The following is a 20,377-nucleotide window of genomic DNA, read 5'->3' on the forward strand; positions in this document are numbered from 1 at the left end:
TTCAGGTGACATCTCATTTGTTCATGCTAATTAAAAACCTTCCAGTGAAACAAATCCAGGCCATGTACACAGAGTTCCTAGTCAACTTTTCCATTCAAGTTATCATGTCATTGGGCCGACAGACATATTTCAAAACAGCGTAGGAAAGCCAATCTGACTTCCTAGGTTAATGAAAGCTCTCCTTCAGTTAAAATGGAAATGGACCGTTGTGATAGTAGTGAGGCTGTGCCTCTTTGATATAAGGGAGAATAATTGACTGAGGGTCTTGACTGCTGCACTCTAAAATCCATTGCTGTATTTCTCTTTCCACACGCTGCTACTATTTGATGACTGAGTTTGGTTAGGATACTAAGGTATGCCCCTTCCTGGGAGATGTGGGATTCCTCTGTCAGAATTAATTGAACTTGCTGAACTGTCCTTAGAAATGTACTGCAGCTTAAAACACTTCCACCTAACTATCCTTCTTCCTGTCTTGCTTTTTGTCTTTTCTCTCTCTTTCACGAAGGATCAGATTGCCATCGTGGTTTTCATGGGTCTCCCAGACCTTCTGTTCCCTCTTAGTTTTCTCTCAGTGATGTTTCTCAGACGATCTAGACTAACATAGACAAAAAGTGTGTATACACACACACATACTTTGGTTGTTTTCAGCTTTTGTTGATAAAGAACAAAGCTACTAAAACATTTTTAAGGAGGCATGTCTGTGTGTGTGTGTGTGTGTGTGTGTGTGTGTGTCTGTGCACGTGTGCACATAAGTTCTCAATTCTCTTGGCAAATATCTGGGAGTGAAATTACTGGGTCATTTGTCAAGTTTATATCTTACTTGTTAAGAATCTACCAACTTATGTTCCAAAGTGTCTATATGATTTTACATTCCCTCCGCCAGTGCTTGAGGGTTTCAATTTATCTACTTCCTCACCAAAAACTATATATATATATATATATATATATATATATATATATATATATATATGTAAAATATATATATAATTATATATGTATATATAATGTTTTATACAATAAATTAAAAGTAGATTCTATTATGCATATATTTTATTTTATAAGATATATATTTATGTATATATTTTATTTTATAAGATATACATTTATGTATATATTTTATTTTATAAGATATACATTTATGTATATATTTTATTTTATAATATAAATATTGTTAAATATATTGTTATAAATAAGTTGAAAAGTAAGTTTTATTTTAGATGTATATGTAAAATATAATTTATTTTTAACTACATGAAACTAAAAATACTTCAGTTTTTCTGCTTACTTTCTGCCAGTTATTCTTGTACCTTTTCTCTCTTTTATTTAGTTATTTTTTGTATAACAGTTGATTGAGGTAAATTTTCATTCCATAAGATACACCATTTAGAATGTTTGTAATTAAATATTTGGTAAATTTATAGAGTTGTAAGCTATCACACAATCCTGTTATAAAACATTTCTGTCACCAAAAGAGTTTCTTTGTACATGTTACCAATCAATGCTTCCTTCAATTTCCCAGTCCCTGGTAACAACTGGGATCATCTGTGTTCTGATCACCTCCACTACTAATTTGGTTGGTGAAGGAGGGGTCCCTCACCTCAAATAGTATAAAATAGCTGAACACACACCACCTGATACCGCACAGATGAGACAGACTGCAGGTTATTAGTTACATATACTCACAGACTAGAGAAGGGGGACACTGGGCCATGCAGAGATGCACTCTGGAGCACAGTAAATCAGTAGGGGCTCTGGGAGGCAGGCTTTCTAGTAACAGGTGGGTAAGATGTTCCCTGATTCCCATTGAAGGTGTGACTAATTTGTTTGACTAACTTTTTGGCTGTAAGGGAAGTGAAACTGTTAGGTTGAGGACCAGGTGGAGTGTAGTTGGTCTGGCTGATACAGGAACTAGCTGTATAGGGACCCTTTCCCTTTGAATGGGGACATTTCTAGCAAGAGCAGGAGACTTACCATTAGGCCTCTGAGGACTTAGGAGCATCAAGGACATGAAGCCAGAACTTGAAATTTTATCCCATACAAGACAATTTATATCTGGCTTCTTCTACTTAGCCTGACATTTTTGAGGTTAATGTGTACCATAATATATGTACCAAATAGCACATATACCATAACAGTAGCAGTCTGTTCCTTTTTATTGCTGAATAGTATTCCATTTTATATATTTAACATAGTTTATCTATTTACCTGTGGAAGAATCTTGTGGTTGTTTTCCACTTTTGTTAATGAAGAGCAAAGCTACTAAAACATTTTAAGGAGGTATGTGTGTGTGTGTGTGTGTGCACACAAATTTTCAATTCTCTGGGCAAATATCTGGGAGTGAAATTACTGAGTCATCTGTCAAATGTATTTTTTTAAATTTTACTTTACATTCTGGGATATATGTGCAGAAGGTGCAGGTTTATTACATAGGTATACATATGTCATGGTGGTTTGCTGCACCTATCAACCCATCATCTAAGTTTTAAGCCTACTGAATTATGTTCCAAAGTGGCTACATGATTTTACATTCCCTCCACCAATGTCTGAGGGTTCCAATTTCTCTACTTCCCCACCAAAAACTTGATACTGTCAATTTTTTATTACAGCCATCCTATTAGATGTGTACCTATATTATATTGTAGTTTTAATTTGAACTTTTCTAATGCAATAAAGTAATAAAAATATATAATAAGTAAATAAATGGGATAAAATGGTGCTCTAATTAAAGGTATATAAGCCGTCCTTTAACAAGAAAAAAATAAAGCTTTTCAAAGCCCTGGGTGGATATGGGAGCAAGGAATTCTATTGGAAATATTTATTTAATTTGTGAATCCAACTTTTATAGAACAACTTGAACAACTGGGAAAGTTTTAGAGTGTAGTGGCTTAGGGGTAGTAGAATCTTAATATCTGAAAACAAGGAATCCCTTAACAGATTGTTTGGCTCTGTTGTGAAAATTGTTCACATATTCAAATATTGTCATTCTTGTTAATGAGTTTTTAGCTTTAGAATCATCCTAATTACAAAACATTTAGGACTTAATTATGGTTATAAAACCAAATGTAAATGCTATGAACATTGTCAATGGATGAATTTTCCATAAAGCATTTGAAACTATTTGATTTGGACTCTTCTAAAAATAAGGCCAAAATCAAATAAAAAATAAAGTGAGGTTGGTATATAATGGAAATATGGGTCTACTTACTGTTTTCAAAAATTTGATACTGAAATTTTCTTTCACCGCAACAATAAAATTTTATATTTCACAATACTGCTTGTTCTTTGGCAGGAAACAACTTTTCCTTATTCTCTGGTCTGCAGGCTATTTCTCCCTGATGAGAAGGGGAAGGAGAAAGAGAACTAAAATATCTTGAGGGATTTCCAACTTTACACAGACATTGCATTAGAGTTTCTAAATATCTTATCTCTTTAATCCTCACAATAAACCTGCTAGGAAGAGATTTATCTCTTTATTGTAGAACAGAACAGTTTTTAGTTTACCAGTTATGAGACTAAGCTAGACTCTCCCTAAGAAAATTTGCAATAAGAGAGCCATCCTCCTCTTTTAAGTATCAGAAAAAAAATTAGTATAACTTTAATAAAAGATATTTTTACATAGATGACAAACCTTACTTTCTCTTAGTTACCTTCATTATTCAAAGAATTAATGTACAATCTCTAAGGGATCAATAGTTTATTGAATAAAAGTGGTATATTTTATTAACCATATAAAATACGGACCATTCAATAAAGCATTCATATTATCCAGTTTTCATCTTTCTTTTCCAAACCATACTATTAAAATCAGCAAAAATGTACACAAACAAACTCATTTATATAAGAGTATATATCTTTATATTTCTCTTCATGAATTAAAATTTTAACAGGCAAACTTCGTTTGATATGACTTGGTTGTTCTTAAATTTAGGTTTATTTTGTGATATTATTGTAGCCAAAAGACTTATGTCCTAAACCAGGGGTTCAAGCTTTGGCTCAGGAGCCAAATCAAGCTTTTAGTTTTTTGTTTTGTTTTGTTTTGCTTTTTTTAATGAAGCTTTGTTGAAATAAAGCATGCTCATATATTTACATATTGTCTATGGCTCTTTTCATGCCACCACATCAGGGTTAACCCTTTGTAACAGAAAGTATTTGGCCACAATTCCCAAAATATTTACTGTTTGTTTGTTTGTTCTTTTAAATAAAATATTTGTCAACTCTTGCTCTAAGATATTCTTTCCCTTAAGTTTTCTAAACAGGATTTTGAGTTGAACTCTTCCATGAAAATATCCATGATTTAATACCCCCACAACTATGTGTTCTATAATGTTAATGGCTTAAGTCTTTATCCACATATATTATTGCATTTGATATCTTTCTCTGAACATACGTTTAGTTAATACAGGCACATATGTCCTGCCAATCCAACTGGATAAGGATATTTACTTGTAAGGATGAAATTTATATATGCTACTCTTGTTGAATTCTTCCTTAATGAACAAGCATTAATGGCAGTAGATACACTAGGTACTCAGTAACATTTTTAATGTTTTTCCAAACCATGGCTTTAGGGACTTTGTACTCCTCTATCAACATAGTAAATTATGTCAGTAAAACAAAATTACTTATGATATTCTAACAAAGCTAAGGTGTACTCTGTATTTCAGGATTCAGTGAAAATAATTAAATCACCAGTACTTTTGTTTGTATGCATAGACTTATAAAACAATCTAGATAAGAAATAACAACAACAACAACAACAACAAACTCTGTCAATATTAAGGCTTGAGACTTGCAGACAGACAACTGTGATAGGCAATATATTATCCATGAAGTTCATGATAAGGAACAAAACAAAAAAATAGAGTCACTACTCATTTATTCATTTATCCTACTAGAAATGAGCATTCACTAAAAAATTCTGCCCCTGCCAAATAACAATCTCTTGTTTCAAGTGATTTAGTGGACTTCTTTATCATAAATGTATCTCCTTATCTGTTTACTTAACTTTAGCTGAATTACAAGGATTTAAGTAGCTGTGAAACTTGTATTGAACAAATCAGGTAGTTGCTTTTCATAAACCATTGCAGTTCTACCATACTCTGACCATATGATAAGACCCAGTGAAAATTTAAAAAAGAAAAAAATGAGGAAAACTAAGAAATAATTAGTAGCTTATATCTAGGCTACACATTTAATGTGAGTATAAAAATGTGTAATGGCATCCACTAATATACATTTGGCATACTGTGTATTAATCAAGTATAAACTTAATTGAATTTTAATACATACTAAATCAGGTTATATTTAATGACTCAAGAAAAAGTCTACTCAAGTTACTACTTAATATGTAATTAACCCTTGACATCTAATTAAGAATATTTCTTTCTTAAATTGTGTATCTCAAAACTTAGAAAAAATACTGATTGAACATTGTAAGATTTATTAATAATGTTTAGAATTAATATTTTAAGGTATACGTGAATGTTCTCTAAAGAAAACCTACTCACTATTTCAAAAAATATGAAAATGCTTTTAAAATGCATTATTCATTATTGTTTTGTATTCACAGAAAATTTTAAAAAGGAGAAAAATCTGTAAGATAAAACCCTTTTATCCAAACACAATCCTTTCAGTTTATCAATAATAATTATTTATTAAACAATTACATACACATTCCTCATTTAAATCAAATATTATTAGCACTGAATATAATGAAAGATTAAATATGAACACTGCTTTTTACACTCAATTCAGAAAAAAAATCTTAATAATTAGATTTGATTGTCAGAAAAATCCATCTTAGATCCTAATATTTCAGATAACTAAAACATATTACTACGTGTATTTCTCTAGTAGTCCAGATTATTTTAAATGATTGCTGTTACTTAGCATCTCAATCCTGTCTGGTTTTTCTGAGTGGTTTTACATTGCCACATTGTTTAAGTCGGTTGTGTATTTAATAAAAAGTTTGATACTTTATTTCTACTCTTCTTTTATAGAAGTAATGGGCTCCAAAAATCAATTATATTTTAACATTAGTCGTAATCATTATTATCAGGCATAGCTTTTTATGTATGCATTAAGTGCTTGTAATTATTGTTTTACCATTCACATTTTCAAATTGCCTCTCTCTTTTCCTTTCACTAAGATTAAAATTCAAGGATTTATTCTTGATCAAGATAAAAGTAATATGACTGCCTTGTGTTCTATTATGCCTTGGGGAGTATAAGTGAAGGGCACTTGGTGTCAAATAACGACTCCTCCATTGTGTATTGTGTATTGTGCATTTATTGTATCTTCAAAAGATAAACATACACAGCATTTCACCTAATTTAACTTTGTTAGATGGTTATTTCATCTCTTTTTTTTTCTACTTATCCTCTGTGACATTTACTGTCATAAGGAAAGTTAAAAATTAAAAACAAAAGTTACCTATGTCTCAAAAATGTGAAGCATGAACTGTTGGTGTTCTAGCATCAGGCACTTCATTGATATGATCGCAAGAATAAAAGAAAATGTATATTTGATACTTAAGATTTAAGATGGATCACATTCTCCCATACTTAATAATCTTTCCTGGTATTATTGAAAAACTTATGTTAGTAATTAAATAGTTAAAAATTTAATCAAGTTTAAGTAACTATGGTTTAAAGATACTTTAATATAAAGATATGTTAACTAGGTATAAAGTTGTTAGCTAGGCAAATGTAAGGGAGAGAGAGAGATTTTAAAAAATATTTCTTTTGTTGCAACTGTAAAAGGTAACTTCCATCCCAAGGGTTGGGACAAACAGGTAAGAAGTTATACTTACTAAAACTCAAAAGCTGAGATAAGTGTCCCTGTAGAATTCAAGCTCAGATATCTGAGAGTGTGTGATTCAACTACAGATATGAAGGATCTGCTCTTGCCAAGGTAAAGAGATGGTACTCCCGTGACACTCAAAGGAACTGCAAACAGAAAGGATACAAACAGGAAGACTAAAGGAAGTACATATGAAAAATTAGTGTCTTCCTCTAGGCTTGCAAGCTACTACTAGTGCCCTTTCTTGGTAAGGCCTAACAAGGAGCCACTTTCAAGGGAGAAATGTGATTTATAAGACATATCCTATGAATCACAAAGTAGAATATGGGAGGAAAGGTTTAAACTTGAAAGTAATCGATTAAAAAGTAGTCAGTCCACCTCTTTGGCTGTTCAGCATTCATATGCACATTTCAACACATATTTAAATGTTTGAAATAATCTTAAACTTGTATCAAATTTGCTAATAAAGCACAATTTTTCCCTTTGAACTAGTTGAACATAATCACAGAATGAAACAGTTACACAATACTCCATTATCTATGAATAATTTGTGGGTATGTATTTTTTAGAAACAAAGATATTTTCTAACATAATCACCAGAATAAGAATATTAACATTGACACATTATTGCCATCTAATCCTCAGCCTTCATTCAACTTTCAACAATTGTCTTAATAATTTACTTTATCGTAAAACTATCCAGTTCAAAATAAAACTGTTTGCTTTTAGTTGTCATGTGTCTCATTTTCTTTGAAATTACTTTGACTTTCCTATTCTGTATAATTTCTAAAACTATGGAACAAGTGTTTTTGTAGAATATTTCCAGGTTTGGGAAACAATTTGAGTATGCACTTAGCTTTTTCTTTTTTTTTCTTTTTTTTTTTTTTAGATTTTCTAATGGTTAGACTCTGACTCTAATGGTTTGGCAATAATATAACAAAAATGCTGCTATGTTCTTCTCATTGCATGCTAACCATGATGTAGAATTTCAGTGTATATGAACACTGGTAATATTTAATTTGATCTCTCAGAAAAATAGCTGTATCTGTCACTTCTTCCATGTAAAGTTACTCTATTTTCCTTTATAATTAATAAATACTTGTGGGAAGATACCTTGAAACTATGTATTAGGTTGGTGCAAAAGTAATCACGGCTTTTGTACTAAAACCGATTAATTTTGCACCAGCCTAATACATTTCCAATTTTCATTAAATCTTTATTTTTCTATTTATTGATACAAGTATGGACTCATGGGTTTCTATTTTATTCAATAACATGTAAGCAATTGTAATCATTTTGCTTTAGTCTGTTTCTGCTGCTTGTAGCAAAATGCCTATAACCGCGTAACTTAAGAAGAAATACATTTATCTCTTAGAGTTACATAGGCTGGGAAGCCTAAGGTTGAGGCGGTACATCTGGTGAGAGTCTTCTTGCTGGTGGGGACTCTCTGGGGCATCCTGGGGTGATAGAGGCTATCACAGAGTGAGGGGGCTGAGCATACTGGTGATATCTTAGGTGATATCTCAGTTTTCTCAATTCTTACAAAGCCACCAGTTCCTCTCTCATGATAATTTACTAATCCATTAATCCGTAATTGAATTAATCTATTCATGAGGGCAGAGCCCTCCTAATTCTATCACCTCTTAAAGGTCCCACATCTCAATACTGCCACATTGGGAATTCTGTCAATGTGAGTTAGAGGGGACAGATATTCAAATCATAGCACATAGTTTAATTTTGAAGTTAAAATGACCCAAAGTTAATACGAGCATCTGTTTCCTTTTAACACATATACATCATTCTTTGAGTGCATCTGTATTTTCTGATGCATCAAGATGTTCCAGGTGCATCATGTACTTTTCATGTTCATCAGAGAAAAGTCTTAAAATATCAATTTGAAGTGCTAAAAATAAAACTCACGGTACCACAGGTTCCCAATTCCTTTAATAGGCTGAAGGAAATACCCAACCTGAAATATCAAGAAGAAAAGAGAGGAAATATCAGGGAAAGCAGAGCTGAATATCCATGGATCACAGAATAATATCAAATTGCTTAATATACCTGTAACCATCACCCCAGAAAAAGCAAATATAGATAGCAAGAAAACATTCTGAGAAGAAATAAAATATTTTATGATATAGAGAGAAAAACAACAAACAACAACTCCAATCTTACTCAATTCCCCAACTCCATTTAAGATACTAAGATAACCTTTATACCAACTCCAAACAAGATCAGTATGAGAAAAAAAAAGAACCAGTAAAAACCCTCAGTAAACACATATGCAAAAAGTCTTAAACACAAATAGAAAGTTGCATAGACAGATAAACTTATAGATATAAATATCACTGAATATCTATCTAATCTTTCTAAAGATATAAAGACATACCATGACTTACGAAGATTTATCCAGAAATACAAAATTGATTTAACTTTAGTTATTAATCACTGTAATTCTGCATAATAGCAGATTATAGGGGAACAATTACATGATGATATTGATCATATTTATAAGAAAAACATTTGATAATAATCAGTAAGTTTTCATAATGAAATATTATAGCAAAAAGTCATCTAATTAAAATTACCCATAATTGAAACTTACATTAACAATTGTATTTAAATGTGAAATATGGGCAGCTTTTCTTTTTAATGAGAAAAATATAAAAATAAATTATCATGATCCCCACTTTTTTGCAACCTTGTAATGAATTGCTAGACAATGAAGTAAAAGGAAGTACCTGTAAGATTTGAAAAGGAAGAAAACCATAGTTATTATATTTCTTGGAAAAAATAAAAGAAAAATAGCATTATTTTCAGGCAATAAGATTGTATGTATAGAAAATCCAAAATAACTTAGAGATGAATTTAGAAAATTACAAGCCTGGATCCAAAAATAGATATATAGAATCACTTGTATTTCATATACAAACAACAATCAGGAAAGTATTTTTTAAAAAGAGGATAAAAGTAGCATTAATGTATATATAGTACTAAAAATAAATAGCAGGAAAACTTTATTGAGGAGTATAAGAGCTAAATAAATGAGAAAATATACATTTTGATGATTTGTTAGACTCAATATTGTTAACTTATCAATTCTTTTCAAGCTATACTAAGGATCAAATGTATTCCATCTAACATTCTACATGCATGTGTGAAAACTACCTGTTCTACATACTGACAATACTCATAAAATCTTAGTATTAGAATAGTGTATTCTTGGCACAAGGCTAGACAAATATACAAATTTTCGGACTAAAGAGTCCAGAGACAGATTTATGGTTATGTGGACACTTGATTTACAACAAAATTGACATGGCTAAATAAAAGTGGAAGACAATCTTTTCAGTTGTACTAGGAAATTGATTATCTATATAGAAAAAAATAATTGAAACTTTTTCTCATAAAACACTCAGTTATTGAATTATAAGTAATAGGCAAAATAATAAAAAATACAAAAAAACTTCATGGAATGAGAGGATATATATATTTATCTTTTGTGTGTATATGTGTATGTATATATATAAAACCATATATATATATTTAACCTTACAAATAATTTATTGTATATTTTGAGAACACACAATATTTTAAGAATATACAATAAATTATAAGTGACCATGTTCACTCTACCATGCTACAGAAAATCAGAACTCATTCCTCCTATTTAATTGTAATGTTGTATCTCCTAACCAAACTCTCCTCATTCTGTTTTCTAACTCCCCTTCCCTGCCTCTTATACTCACAATTCTTATCACTACTTTTCTGAGCTCAAATTTTATCAAGTCAATTTTTAATGACACATTACCACCTTTTCCATATCTCTTAATTATGTGTGTATATATATACATATATATACACATAAAACCTCATATATATAAAACACCATATATATATATATATATAACCTTATATATAAATATAAGGTTCATAGTTGCATATTTAAGTGACAGTATTTTAAGCCAAACAAGTGATTGATGTAAAACTCAGGACACTTGCTTCTGGCAGGGGTAGGTGGTTTATGACCAGGAAGGAGCAATAGTAGGTGTGAGTATTGACATTCTAGTTTTTGATCTGCATGGTTGCTTATAGTTATTTAAGCCATACATATACCTTATCTTACTGTTTTGTGAATGTGTTATATTTCATAATAAAAGGTGGAATACACAGATTTTAATTTGGGGCAGCTAATTTCTTTTCCAACCCATAAGGATTTGAGAAAGTGGGCTTTAATTACTATTTATTTAATACGTTGAAGCTGGTTTTAAGTGACTTTATTCACATGGTTTTGCTTTCTTGATGATATACTCAATTCATGTCACTTTAAGAGCAGTATGTCTACTTAAGAGACATGGGAGAGGTGATGATTTGTCATTAAAAACTGACTTGATAAAATTTGAGGTCAGAAAAGTAAAGAGTAGAATTGTGGGTATAAAAGTCTGGGAAGGAGAGGTAGAAAACAGAGGCTGGGGAGAGGTTGGTTAATAGATACATTACAGTTAGATGGGGGAATGAGTTCTGGTTTTCTGCAGCACTGTAGGGGGAATATGATCACATAAAATTTATTGTCTATTCTCAAAAAGCTGGAAGAGAGAATTTTGAATGTTCACATGACAAAGAAATGATCAATTTTTTTGACTTGAAGGATATGCTAATTTTCCCAATTGATCATTACACATTATACATGGGTATCAAAATATCAGTCTGTATCCCATAAATATATACAATTATTATATGTCAACTAAAATTTTAAAAATATATTTAAAAAGCTGACTTGGTATCATGCACAATTTACTATTTTTGAACAAGTGCTTTCTGACTCCTTGTTTTCAGTTAGAGAAAAAATTTTTTAAAGTTATTTAAACAACATATGCAACTTACCTTTGTAGTCATACATTTTATGTATAATTACTTTTTGTTATTTTTGGAGATCTTGATATTCCTTAAAATTTCTAAATCCAAAATATACCATGAACATAGCAATTTAGTTTATCTCTTCCAAATAGACAAGACTACTTCTTCCTTAAATGTATGAATTGCTTGCCAAATATTTTATTTATATTATAAAGCATTGTTGATAAATTTAAAATGAAAATAATTCCACAGTTTCCAAATGTGTTTAGAATTTACATTACTGCATTCGAAAGTATAAAATTATTAGAGTAGAAAGAAGCCAAGATGGCCAAATAGGAACAACAACGGTCTACAGCTCCCAGAGTGAGCGACACAGAAGACGGGTGATTTCTGCATTTCCATCTGAGGTACCGGGTTCATCTCACTAGGGAGTGCCAGCCAGTGGGCACAGGTCAGTGGGTGCACGCGCGAGCCTAGCCGAAGCAGGGTGAGGCATTGCCTCACTCGGGAAGAGCAGGGGGTCAGGGAGTTCCCTTTCCTAGTCAAAGAAAGGGGTGACAGACGGCACCTGGAAGATCAGGTAACTCCCACCCGAATACTGCGCTTTTCCGACGGGCTTAAAAAACGGCGCACCAGGAGATTGTGTACCCCACCTGGCTCGGAGGGTCCTACGCCCACGGAGTCTCCCTGATTGCTAGCACAGCAGTCTGAGATAAAACTGCAAGGCGGCAGCGAGGCTGGGGGAGGGGCGCCCGCCACTGGGGAGGGGCGCCCGCCATTGCCCAGGCTTGCTTAGGTAAACAAAGCAGCCAGGAAGCTCCAACTGGGTGGAGCCCAACACAGCTCAAGGAGGCCTGCCTGCCTCTGTAGGCTCCACCTCTGGGGGCAGGGCACAGACAAACAAAAAGACAGCAGTAACCTCTGCAGACTTAAGTGTCCCTGTCTGACAGCTTTGAAGAGAGCAGTGGTTCTCCCAGCACGCAGCTGGAGATCTGAGAACGGGCAGACTGCCTCCTCAAGTGGGTCCCTGACCCCTGACCCCCGAGCAGCCTGACTGGGAGGCACCCCCTAGCGGGGGCAGACTGACACCTCACACGGCAGGGTACTCCAACAGACCTGCAGCTGAGGGTCCTCTCTGTTAGAAGGAAAACTAACAAACAGAAAGGACATCCACACCAAAAACCCATCTGTACATCACCATCATCAAAGACCAAAAGTAGATAAAACCACAAAGATGGGGAAAAAACAGAGCAGAAAAACTGGAAACTCTAAAAAGCAGAGCGCCTCTCCTCCTCCAAAGGAACGCACTTCCTCACCAGCAACGGAACAAAGCTGGATGGAGAATGACTTTGACGAGCTGAGAGAAGAAGGCTTCAGACGATCAAATTACTCTGAGCTACAGGAGGACATTCAAACCAAAGGCAAAGAAGTTGAAAACTTTGAAAAAAATTTAGAAGAATGTATAACTTCTACCAATACAGAGAAGTGCTTAAAGGAGCTGATGGAGCTGAAAACCAAGGCTCAAGAACTACGTGAAGAATGTAGAAGCCTCAGGAGCCACTGCGATCAACTGGAAGAAAGGGTATCAGCGATGGAAGATGAAATGAATGAAATGAAGCGAGAAGGGAAGTTTAGAGAAAACAGAATAAAAAGAAATGAGCAAAGCCTCCAAGAAATATGGGACTATGTGAAAAGACCAAATCTACGTCTGATTGGTGTACCTGAAAGCGACGGGGAGAATGGAACCAAGTTGGAAAACACTCTGCAAGATATTATCCAGGAGAACTTCCCCAATCTAGCAAGGCAGTCCAACCTTCAGATTCAGGAAATACAGACAACGCCACAAAGATACTCCTCAAGAAGAGCAACTCCAAGACACATAATTGTCAGATTCACCAAAGTTGAAATGAAGGAAAAAATGTTTAGGGCAGCCAGAGAGAAAGGTCGGGTTACACTCGAAGGGAAGCCCATCAGACTAACAGTGGATCTCTCAGTAGAAACTCTACAAGCCAGAAGAGAGTGGGGGCCAATATTCAACATTCTTAAGAAAAGAATTTTCAACCCAGAATTTCATGTCCAGCCAAACTAAGCTTCATAAGTGAAGGAGAAATAAAATCCTTTACAGACAAGCAAATGCTGAGAAATTCTGTCACCACCAGGCCTGCCTTACAAGAGCTCCTGAAGGAAGCACTAAACATGGAAAGGAACAACCGATACCAGCCACTGCAAAATCATGCCAAAATGTAAAGACCATCGAGACTAAGAAGAAACTGCATCAACTAATGAGCAAAATAACCAGCTAACATCAGAATGACAAGATCAAATGACAGGATCAAATTCACACATAACAATATTAACCTTAAATGTAAATGGACTAAATGCTCCAATTAAAAGACAGAGACTGGCAAATTGGATAAAGAGTCAAGACCCATCAGTGTGCTGTATTCAGGAAACCCATCTCACATGCAGAGACACACATAGCCTCAAAATAAAGGGATGGAGAAAGATCTACCAAGCAAATGGAAAACAAAAAAAGGCAGGGGTTGCAATCCTAGTCTCTGATAAAACAGACTTTCAACCAACAAAGATCAAAAGAGACAAAGAAGGCCATTACATAATGGTAAAGGGATCAATTCAACAAGAAGAGCTAACTATCCTAAATATATATGCACCCAATACAGGAGCACCCAGATTCATAAAGCAAGTCCTGAGTGACCTACAAAGAGACTTAGACCCCCACACATTAATAATGGGAGACTTTAACACCCCACTGTCAACATTAGACAGATCAACGAGACAGAAAGTCAACAAGGATACCCAGGAATTGAATTCACCTCTGCACCAAGCAGACCTAATAGACATCTACAGAACTCTCCACCCCAAATCAACAGAATATACATTTTTTTCAGCACCACACCACACCTATTCCAAAATTGACCACATACTGGGAAGTAAAGCTCTCCTCAGCAAATGTAAAAGAACAGAAATTATAACAAACTATCTCTCAGACCACAGTGAAATCAAACTAGAACTCAGGATTAAGAATCTCACTCAAAACCGCTCAACTACATGGAAACTGAACAACCTGCTCCTGAATGACTACGGGGTACATAACGAAATGAAGGCAGAAATAAAGATGTTCTTTGAAACCAACGAGAATAAAGACACAACATACCAGAATCTCTGGGACGCATTCAAAGCAGTGTGTAGAGGGAAATTTATAGCACTACATGTCCACAAGAGAAAGCAAGAAAGATCCAAAATTGACACCCTAACATCACAATTAAAAGAACTAGAAAAGCAAGAGCAAAGACATTCAAAAGCTAGCAGAAGGCAAGAAATAACTAAAATCAGAGCAGAACTGAAGGAAATAGAGACACAAAAAACCCTTCAAAAAATTAATGAATCCAGGAGCTGGATTTTTGAAAGGATCAACAAAATTGATAGACCGCTAGCAAGACTAATAAAGAAAAAAAGAGAGAAGAATCAAATAGACACAATAAAAAATGATAAAGGGGATATCACCACCGATCCCACAGAAATACAAACTACCATCAGAGAATACTACAAACACCTCTATGCAAATAAACTAGAAAATCTAGAAGATATGGATAAATTCCTCGACACATACACTCTCCCAAGACTAAACCAGGAAGAAGTTGAATCTCTGAATAGACCAATAACAGGATCTGAAATTGTGGCAATAACCAATAGCTTACCAACCAAAAAGACTCCAGGACCAGATGGATTCACAGCCGAATTCTACCAGAGGTACAAGGAGGAACTGGTACCATTCCTTCTGAAACTATTCCAATCAATAGAAAAAGAGGGAATCCTCCCTAACTCATTTTATGAGGCCAGCATCATCCTGATACCAAAGCTGGGCAGAGACACAACCAAAAAAGAGAATTTTAGACCAATATCCTTGATGAACATTGATGCAAAAATCCTCAATAAAATACTGGCAAACCAAATCCAGCAGCACATCAAAAAGCTTATCCACCATGATCAAGTGGGCTTCATCACTGGGATGCAAGGCTGGTTCAATATACGCAAATCAATAAATGTAATCCAGCATATAAACAGAACCAAAGACAAAAACCACATGATTATCTCAATAGATGCAGAAAAGGCCTTTGACAAAATTCAACAACGCTTCATGCTAAAAACTCTCAATAAATTAGGTATTGATGGGACGTATTTCAAAATAATAAGAGCTATCTATGAGAAACCCACAGCCAATATCATACTGAATGGGCAAAAACTGGAAGCATTCCCTTTGAAAACTGGCACAAGACAGGGATGCCCTCTCTCACCACTCCTATTCAACATAGTGTTGGAAGTTCTGGCCAGGGCACTCAGGCAGGAGAAGGAAATAAAGGGTATTCAATTAGGAAAAGAGGAAGTCAAATTGTCCCTGTTTGCAGACGACATGATTGTATATCTAGAAAACCCCATTGTCTCAGCCCTAAATCTCCTTAAGCTGATAAGCAACTTCAGCAAAGTCTCAGGATACAAAATCAATGTACAAAAATCACAAGCATTCTTATATACCAACAACAGACAAACAGAGAGCCAAATCATGAGTGAACTCACATTCACAATTGCTTCAAAGAGAATAAAATACCTAGGAATCCAACTTATAAGGGATGTGAAGGACCTCTTCAAGGAGAACTACAAACCACTGCTCAAGGAAATAAAAGAGGATACAAACAACTGGAAGAACATTCCATGCTCATGGGTAGGAAAAATCAATATCGTGAAAATGGCCATACTGCCCAAGGTAATTTACAGATTCAATGCCATCCCCATCAAGCTACCAATGACTTTCTTCACAGAATTGGAAAAAACTACTTTAAAGTTCATATGGAACCAAAAAAGAGCCTGCATCGCCAAGTCAATCCTAAGCCAAAAGAACAAAGCTGGAGGCATCACACTACCTGACTTCAAACTATACTACAAGGCTACAGTAACCAAAACAGCATGGTACTGGTACCAAAACAGAGATATAGATCAATGGATCAGAACAGAGCCCTCAGAAATAACGCCAAATATCTACAACTATCTGATCTTTGACAAACCTGAGAAAAACAAGCAATGGGGAAAGGATTCCCTATTTACTAAATGGTGCTGGGAAAACTGGTGAGCCATATGAAGAAAGCTGAAACTGGATCCCTTCCTTACACCTTATACAAAAATCAATTCAAGATGGATTAAAGACTTAAACATTAGACCTAAAACCATAAAAACCCTAGAAGAAAACCTAGGCATTACCATTCAGGACATAGGCATGGGCAAGGACTTCATGTCTAAAACACCAAAAGCAATGGCAACAAAAGACAAAATTGACAAATTGGATCTAATTAAACTAAACAGCTTCTGCACAGCAAAAGAAATGACCATCAGAGTGAACAGGCAACCTACAAAATGGGAGAAACTTTTCGCAACCTACTCATCTGACAAAGGGCTAATATCCAGAATCTACAATGAACTCAAACAAATTTACAAGAAAAAAACAAACAACCCCATCAAAAAGTGGGCAAAGGACATAAACAGACACTTCTCAAAAGAAGACATTTATGCAGCCAAAAAAACACATGAAAAAATTCTCACCATCACTGGCCATCAGAGAAATGCAAATCAAAACCACAATGAGATACCATCTCACACCAGTTAGAATGGCAATCATTAAAAAGTCAGGAAACAACAGGTGCTGGAGAGGATGTGGAGAAATAGGAACACTTTTACACTGTTGGTGGGACTGTAAACTAGTTCAACCACTGTGGAAGTCAGTGTGGTGATTCCTCAGGGTTCTAGAACTAGAAATACCATTTGACCCGGCCATCCCATTACTGGGTATATACCCAAAGGACTATAAATCATGCTGCTATAAAGACACATGCACACGTATGTTTATTGCGGCATTATTCACAATAGCAAAGACTTGGAACCAACCCAAATGTCCAACAATGATAGACTGGATTAAGAAAATGTGGCACATATACACCATGGAATACTATGCAGCCATAAAAAATGATGAGTTCATGTCCTTTGTAGGGGCATGGGTGAAATTGGAAATCATCATTCTCAGTAAACTATCGCAAGAACAAAAAACCAAACACCGCATATTCTCACTCATAGGTGGGAATTGAACAATGAGAACATATGGACACAGGAAGGGGAACATCACACTCTGGGGACTGTTGTGGGTTGGGGGGAGGGGGCAGGGATAGCATTGGGAGATATACCTAATGCTAGATGACGAGTTAGTGGGTGCAGCACACCAGCATGGCACATGTATACATATGTAACTAACCTGCACATTGTGCACATGTACCCTAAAACTTAAAGTATAATAATAATAAATAAAAAATTTAAAAAAATAAATAAAATAAAATTATTAGAGTAGTAAATGGTGCTTTCAAACATGAAAGTAGTAAAAGTTTTAAGTACAAATGATTGATTCAGCTACCCAGGAGACAAAAATTTACAGTTAATATCAAAGTGAAGTCAACAGCAAGTTCACTGTAGATAAGCCTTTGAAATGTTTTTTGAGAATACTTAACAAGCCAAATCCAGTCAAGCTGACACTATATTATATATTAATGTATTGTTAAGAAAACTCAAGGAAGTGCAGAAGAGGTTTATGAATGTCTTTAATGTTATTTTATGTGTCTAAATTTTGTTTTAGCTTTGTCAAAAGTTTAAAGGCAACATCCTGGAGCCAGTGAAGAGGTATGTAAGCCCTTAGGTATGTAGCCCTCTATATATGAAAAAAAGATTTTGAAAGTATATACCTAATAATTCCATATTAACTATGTGTATAACTACATATTAGTGGAAACAAACGTACAGCAAGATTTCACAATACTTATCCATAAATTGTGAGAATCCAAGTAATCTTCCATAGTTTTTCTGCCTTTTCTTATTCTCTTATTTTTTTCTAAATAACCATTACTTATTTCTATAAAGTGCTAAAATCAATAAAAGATTTTTATTCATCTGAAAGTAGGGCAAATCTGTTTTCTTTTTGTTTACAAAACCTTTTTCATTTGGGCAGGTGCCATGGCTCACACCTGTAATCCCAGCACTTTGGGAGGCTGAGGCGGTCAGATCACGAGGTCAGTAGTTCGAGACTAGCCTGGCCAATATAATGAAACCCCATCTCTACTAAAAATACAAAAAATTAGCAGGGTGTGGTGGCAGGCGCCTATAATCCCAGCTACTCGGGAGGCTGAGGCAGGAGAATCGCTTGAATCCTGGAGGTGGAGGTTGCAGTGAGCTGAGATCGCGCCATTGCACTCCATCCCCTGGATCTAGCAGATGGCTCTAACTTCTGAATATACGGAGTCTAAGAAAAAAATCATTAGGGTCTGTATGCATATTATACATTTGCTAAGGTATGGCCAAAGCAGTATCCCAGCCTGACATGTCAGCTGTCTGGATATTCTGTTCCATGTGCAATTGCTGGAGGTTACTTTTCGGATTTCTTCAGATGTCTTCAAAAGAGTGTCACAAAAATCCCCTTTCCTCAATTGAGAAATATCCAACTATCTCTCAACTATTGTGCTATAGCATCATCAATATATCAGATAGAAATGCAAAGCTTCTGACTCAATGTTCAAAATGTAATAGTTTTAAAGGCCAACATTTGTTCTACTAGATCCCATAGAAGAATCAGTCTGATGACAAAGAGTGAAATGAAGGCCGGATTTCAGCTCTCTCACCTTCCACAACTATATATAGTGTTCCTTATAATTTACTTCCTAAAACAGAGTTTTGAAAGTTTGTTGGTGATGAAAATCCACAGCAAGTCAACTTACATTGCTATCTTTCCAGGACAGAAGACTGAATATTATTCATTTAAAATTTTGAGAACATATGGCCAGACATGGTAGCTCATGCCTGTAATCCCAGTACTCTGGGAGGCAGAGGCAGAGGCAGGAGAATCATTTGAGGTCAGGAGTTCGAGACCAGCCTGGGCAACATGGCGAAACCCTCTCTCTACAGAACATACAAAAATTAGCCGAGCCTGGTGCAGTGAGCTTGTAGTCCCAGCTACTTGTGAGGCTAAGGTGAGAGGTTCGCTTGAGCCCAGCAGGCGGAGGTTGCAGTGAGCTGAGATGGTGTCACCGCACTCCAGCCTGGGCAACACAGGGATTCCCTGTCTCATAAATAAACAAATAAGTTTTGAGAACATAGCCTGTATGTAATTGGGAATAAGCATCAGAAATTTTGACTTAGGCACGTAATAAGTTAGGTGTAATTAAATAGAAGTTAAAAGTTAAAAAATATATTAGTAACAAATTATGAAGCAGCTAACAAAGTAAATAATGCACAATGCAAACTTTTGTGTAAAAGAATGATGCACCAATGCATGATTAATAAAACAAGTTCATACAGGAAAATAATCATGAAATATAATTATTATGTAATATAAATAAATCATGTTATTTAATGCTTATTTATTATGTTACATCTACTTTAATATCCAAGTGTTTGCTGTTTTATGAAGAGATCCTGATTCTTCTTGCCTGCATGATAATTTATGCCATTTCTTTCCTTTTCTCCCCAGTCTCACCTTCTGCGTCTCTCTTTGACTTCTGTCTTTTCCAGTCTCTCTCTCATTTTCTTCTTCTATCTCTGTCTGTCTGCAAGACAGACAGCTTTGGCTCTCTCACACTGTCCACTTTTATCTTGGCTGTCTGCTTTGGCTCTG

The 20,377-nt window shown here is 34.9% G+C and overlaps 1 long non-coding RNA gene across 1 annotated transcript, besides 2 other annotated features; it reads right to left on the reverse strand.

Annotated features, from left to right (window-relative positions):
* Window positions 1-1,317: 1,317 nt before the first annotated feature.
* Window positions 1,318-8,772, reverse strand: LOC105379061 (uncharacterized). Its single transcript, XR_001742522.2, has 3 exons — window positions 8,722-8,772; window positions 6,812-6,947; window positions 1,318-3,332 (listed from the first exon to the last, which is right to left on the reverse strand). It is a non-coding gene; the product is annotated as an uncharacterized LOC105379061 (long non-coding RNA).
* Window positions 11,646-12,294: an enhancer, noted in NCBI's record as "H3K27ac-H3K4me1 hESC enhancer chr5:84933946-84934594 (GRCh37/hg19 assembly coordinates)". NCBI's record gives its function as "activates a minimal SCP1, AML or CMV promoter by ChIP-STARR-seq in primed H9 embryonic stem cells {active_cell/tissue: H9 hESC(primed)}" and the evidence as "EXISTENCE:reporter gene assay evidence [ECO:0000049][PMID:30033119]".
* Window positions 12,295-12,942: an enhancer, noted in NCBI's record as "NANOG-H3K27ac-H3K4me1 hESC enhancer chr5:84934595-84935242 (GRCh37/hg19 assembly coordinates)". NCBI's record gives its function as "activates a minimal SCP1, AML or CMV promoter by ChIP-STARR-seq in naive H9 embryonic stem cells {active_cell/tissue: H9 hESC(naive)}" and the evidence as "EXISTENCE:reporter gene assay evidence [ECO:0000049][PMID:30033119]".

This window comes from Homo sapiens, chromosome 5 (genome assembly GCF_000001405.40).
Source record: "Homo sapiens chromosome 5, GRCh38.p14 Primary Assembly".
Taxonomy (NCBI): Eukaryota; Metazoa; Chordata; class Mammalia; order Primates; family Hominidae; genus Homo; species Homo sapiens.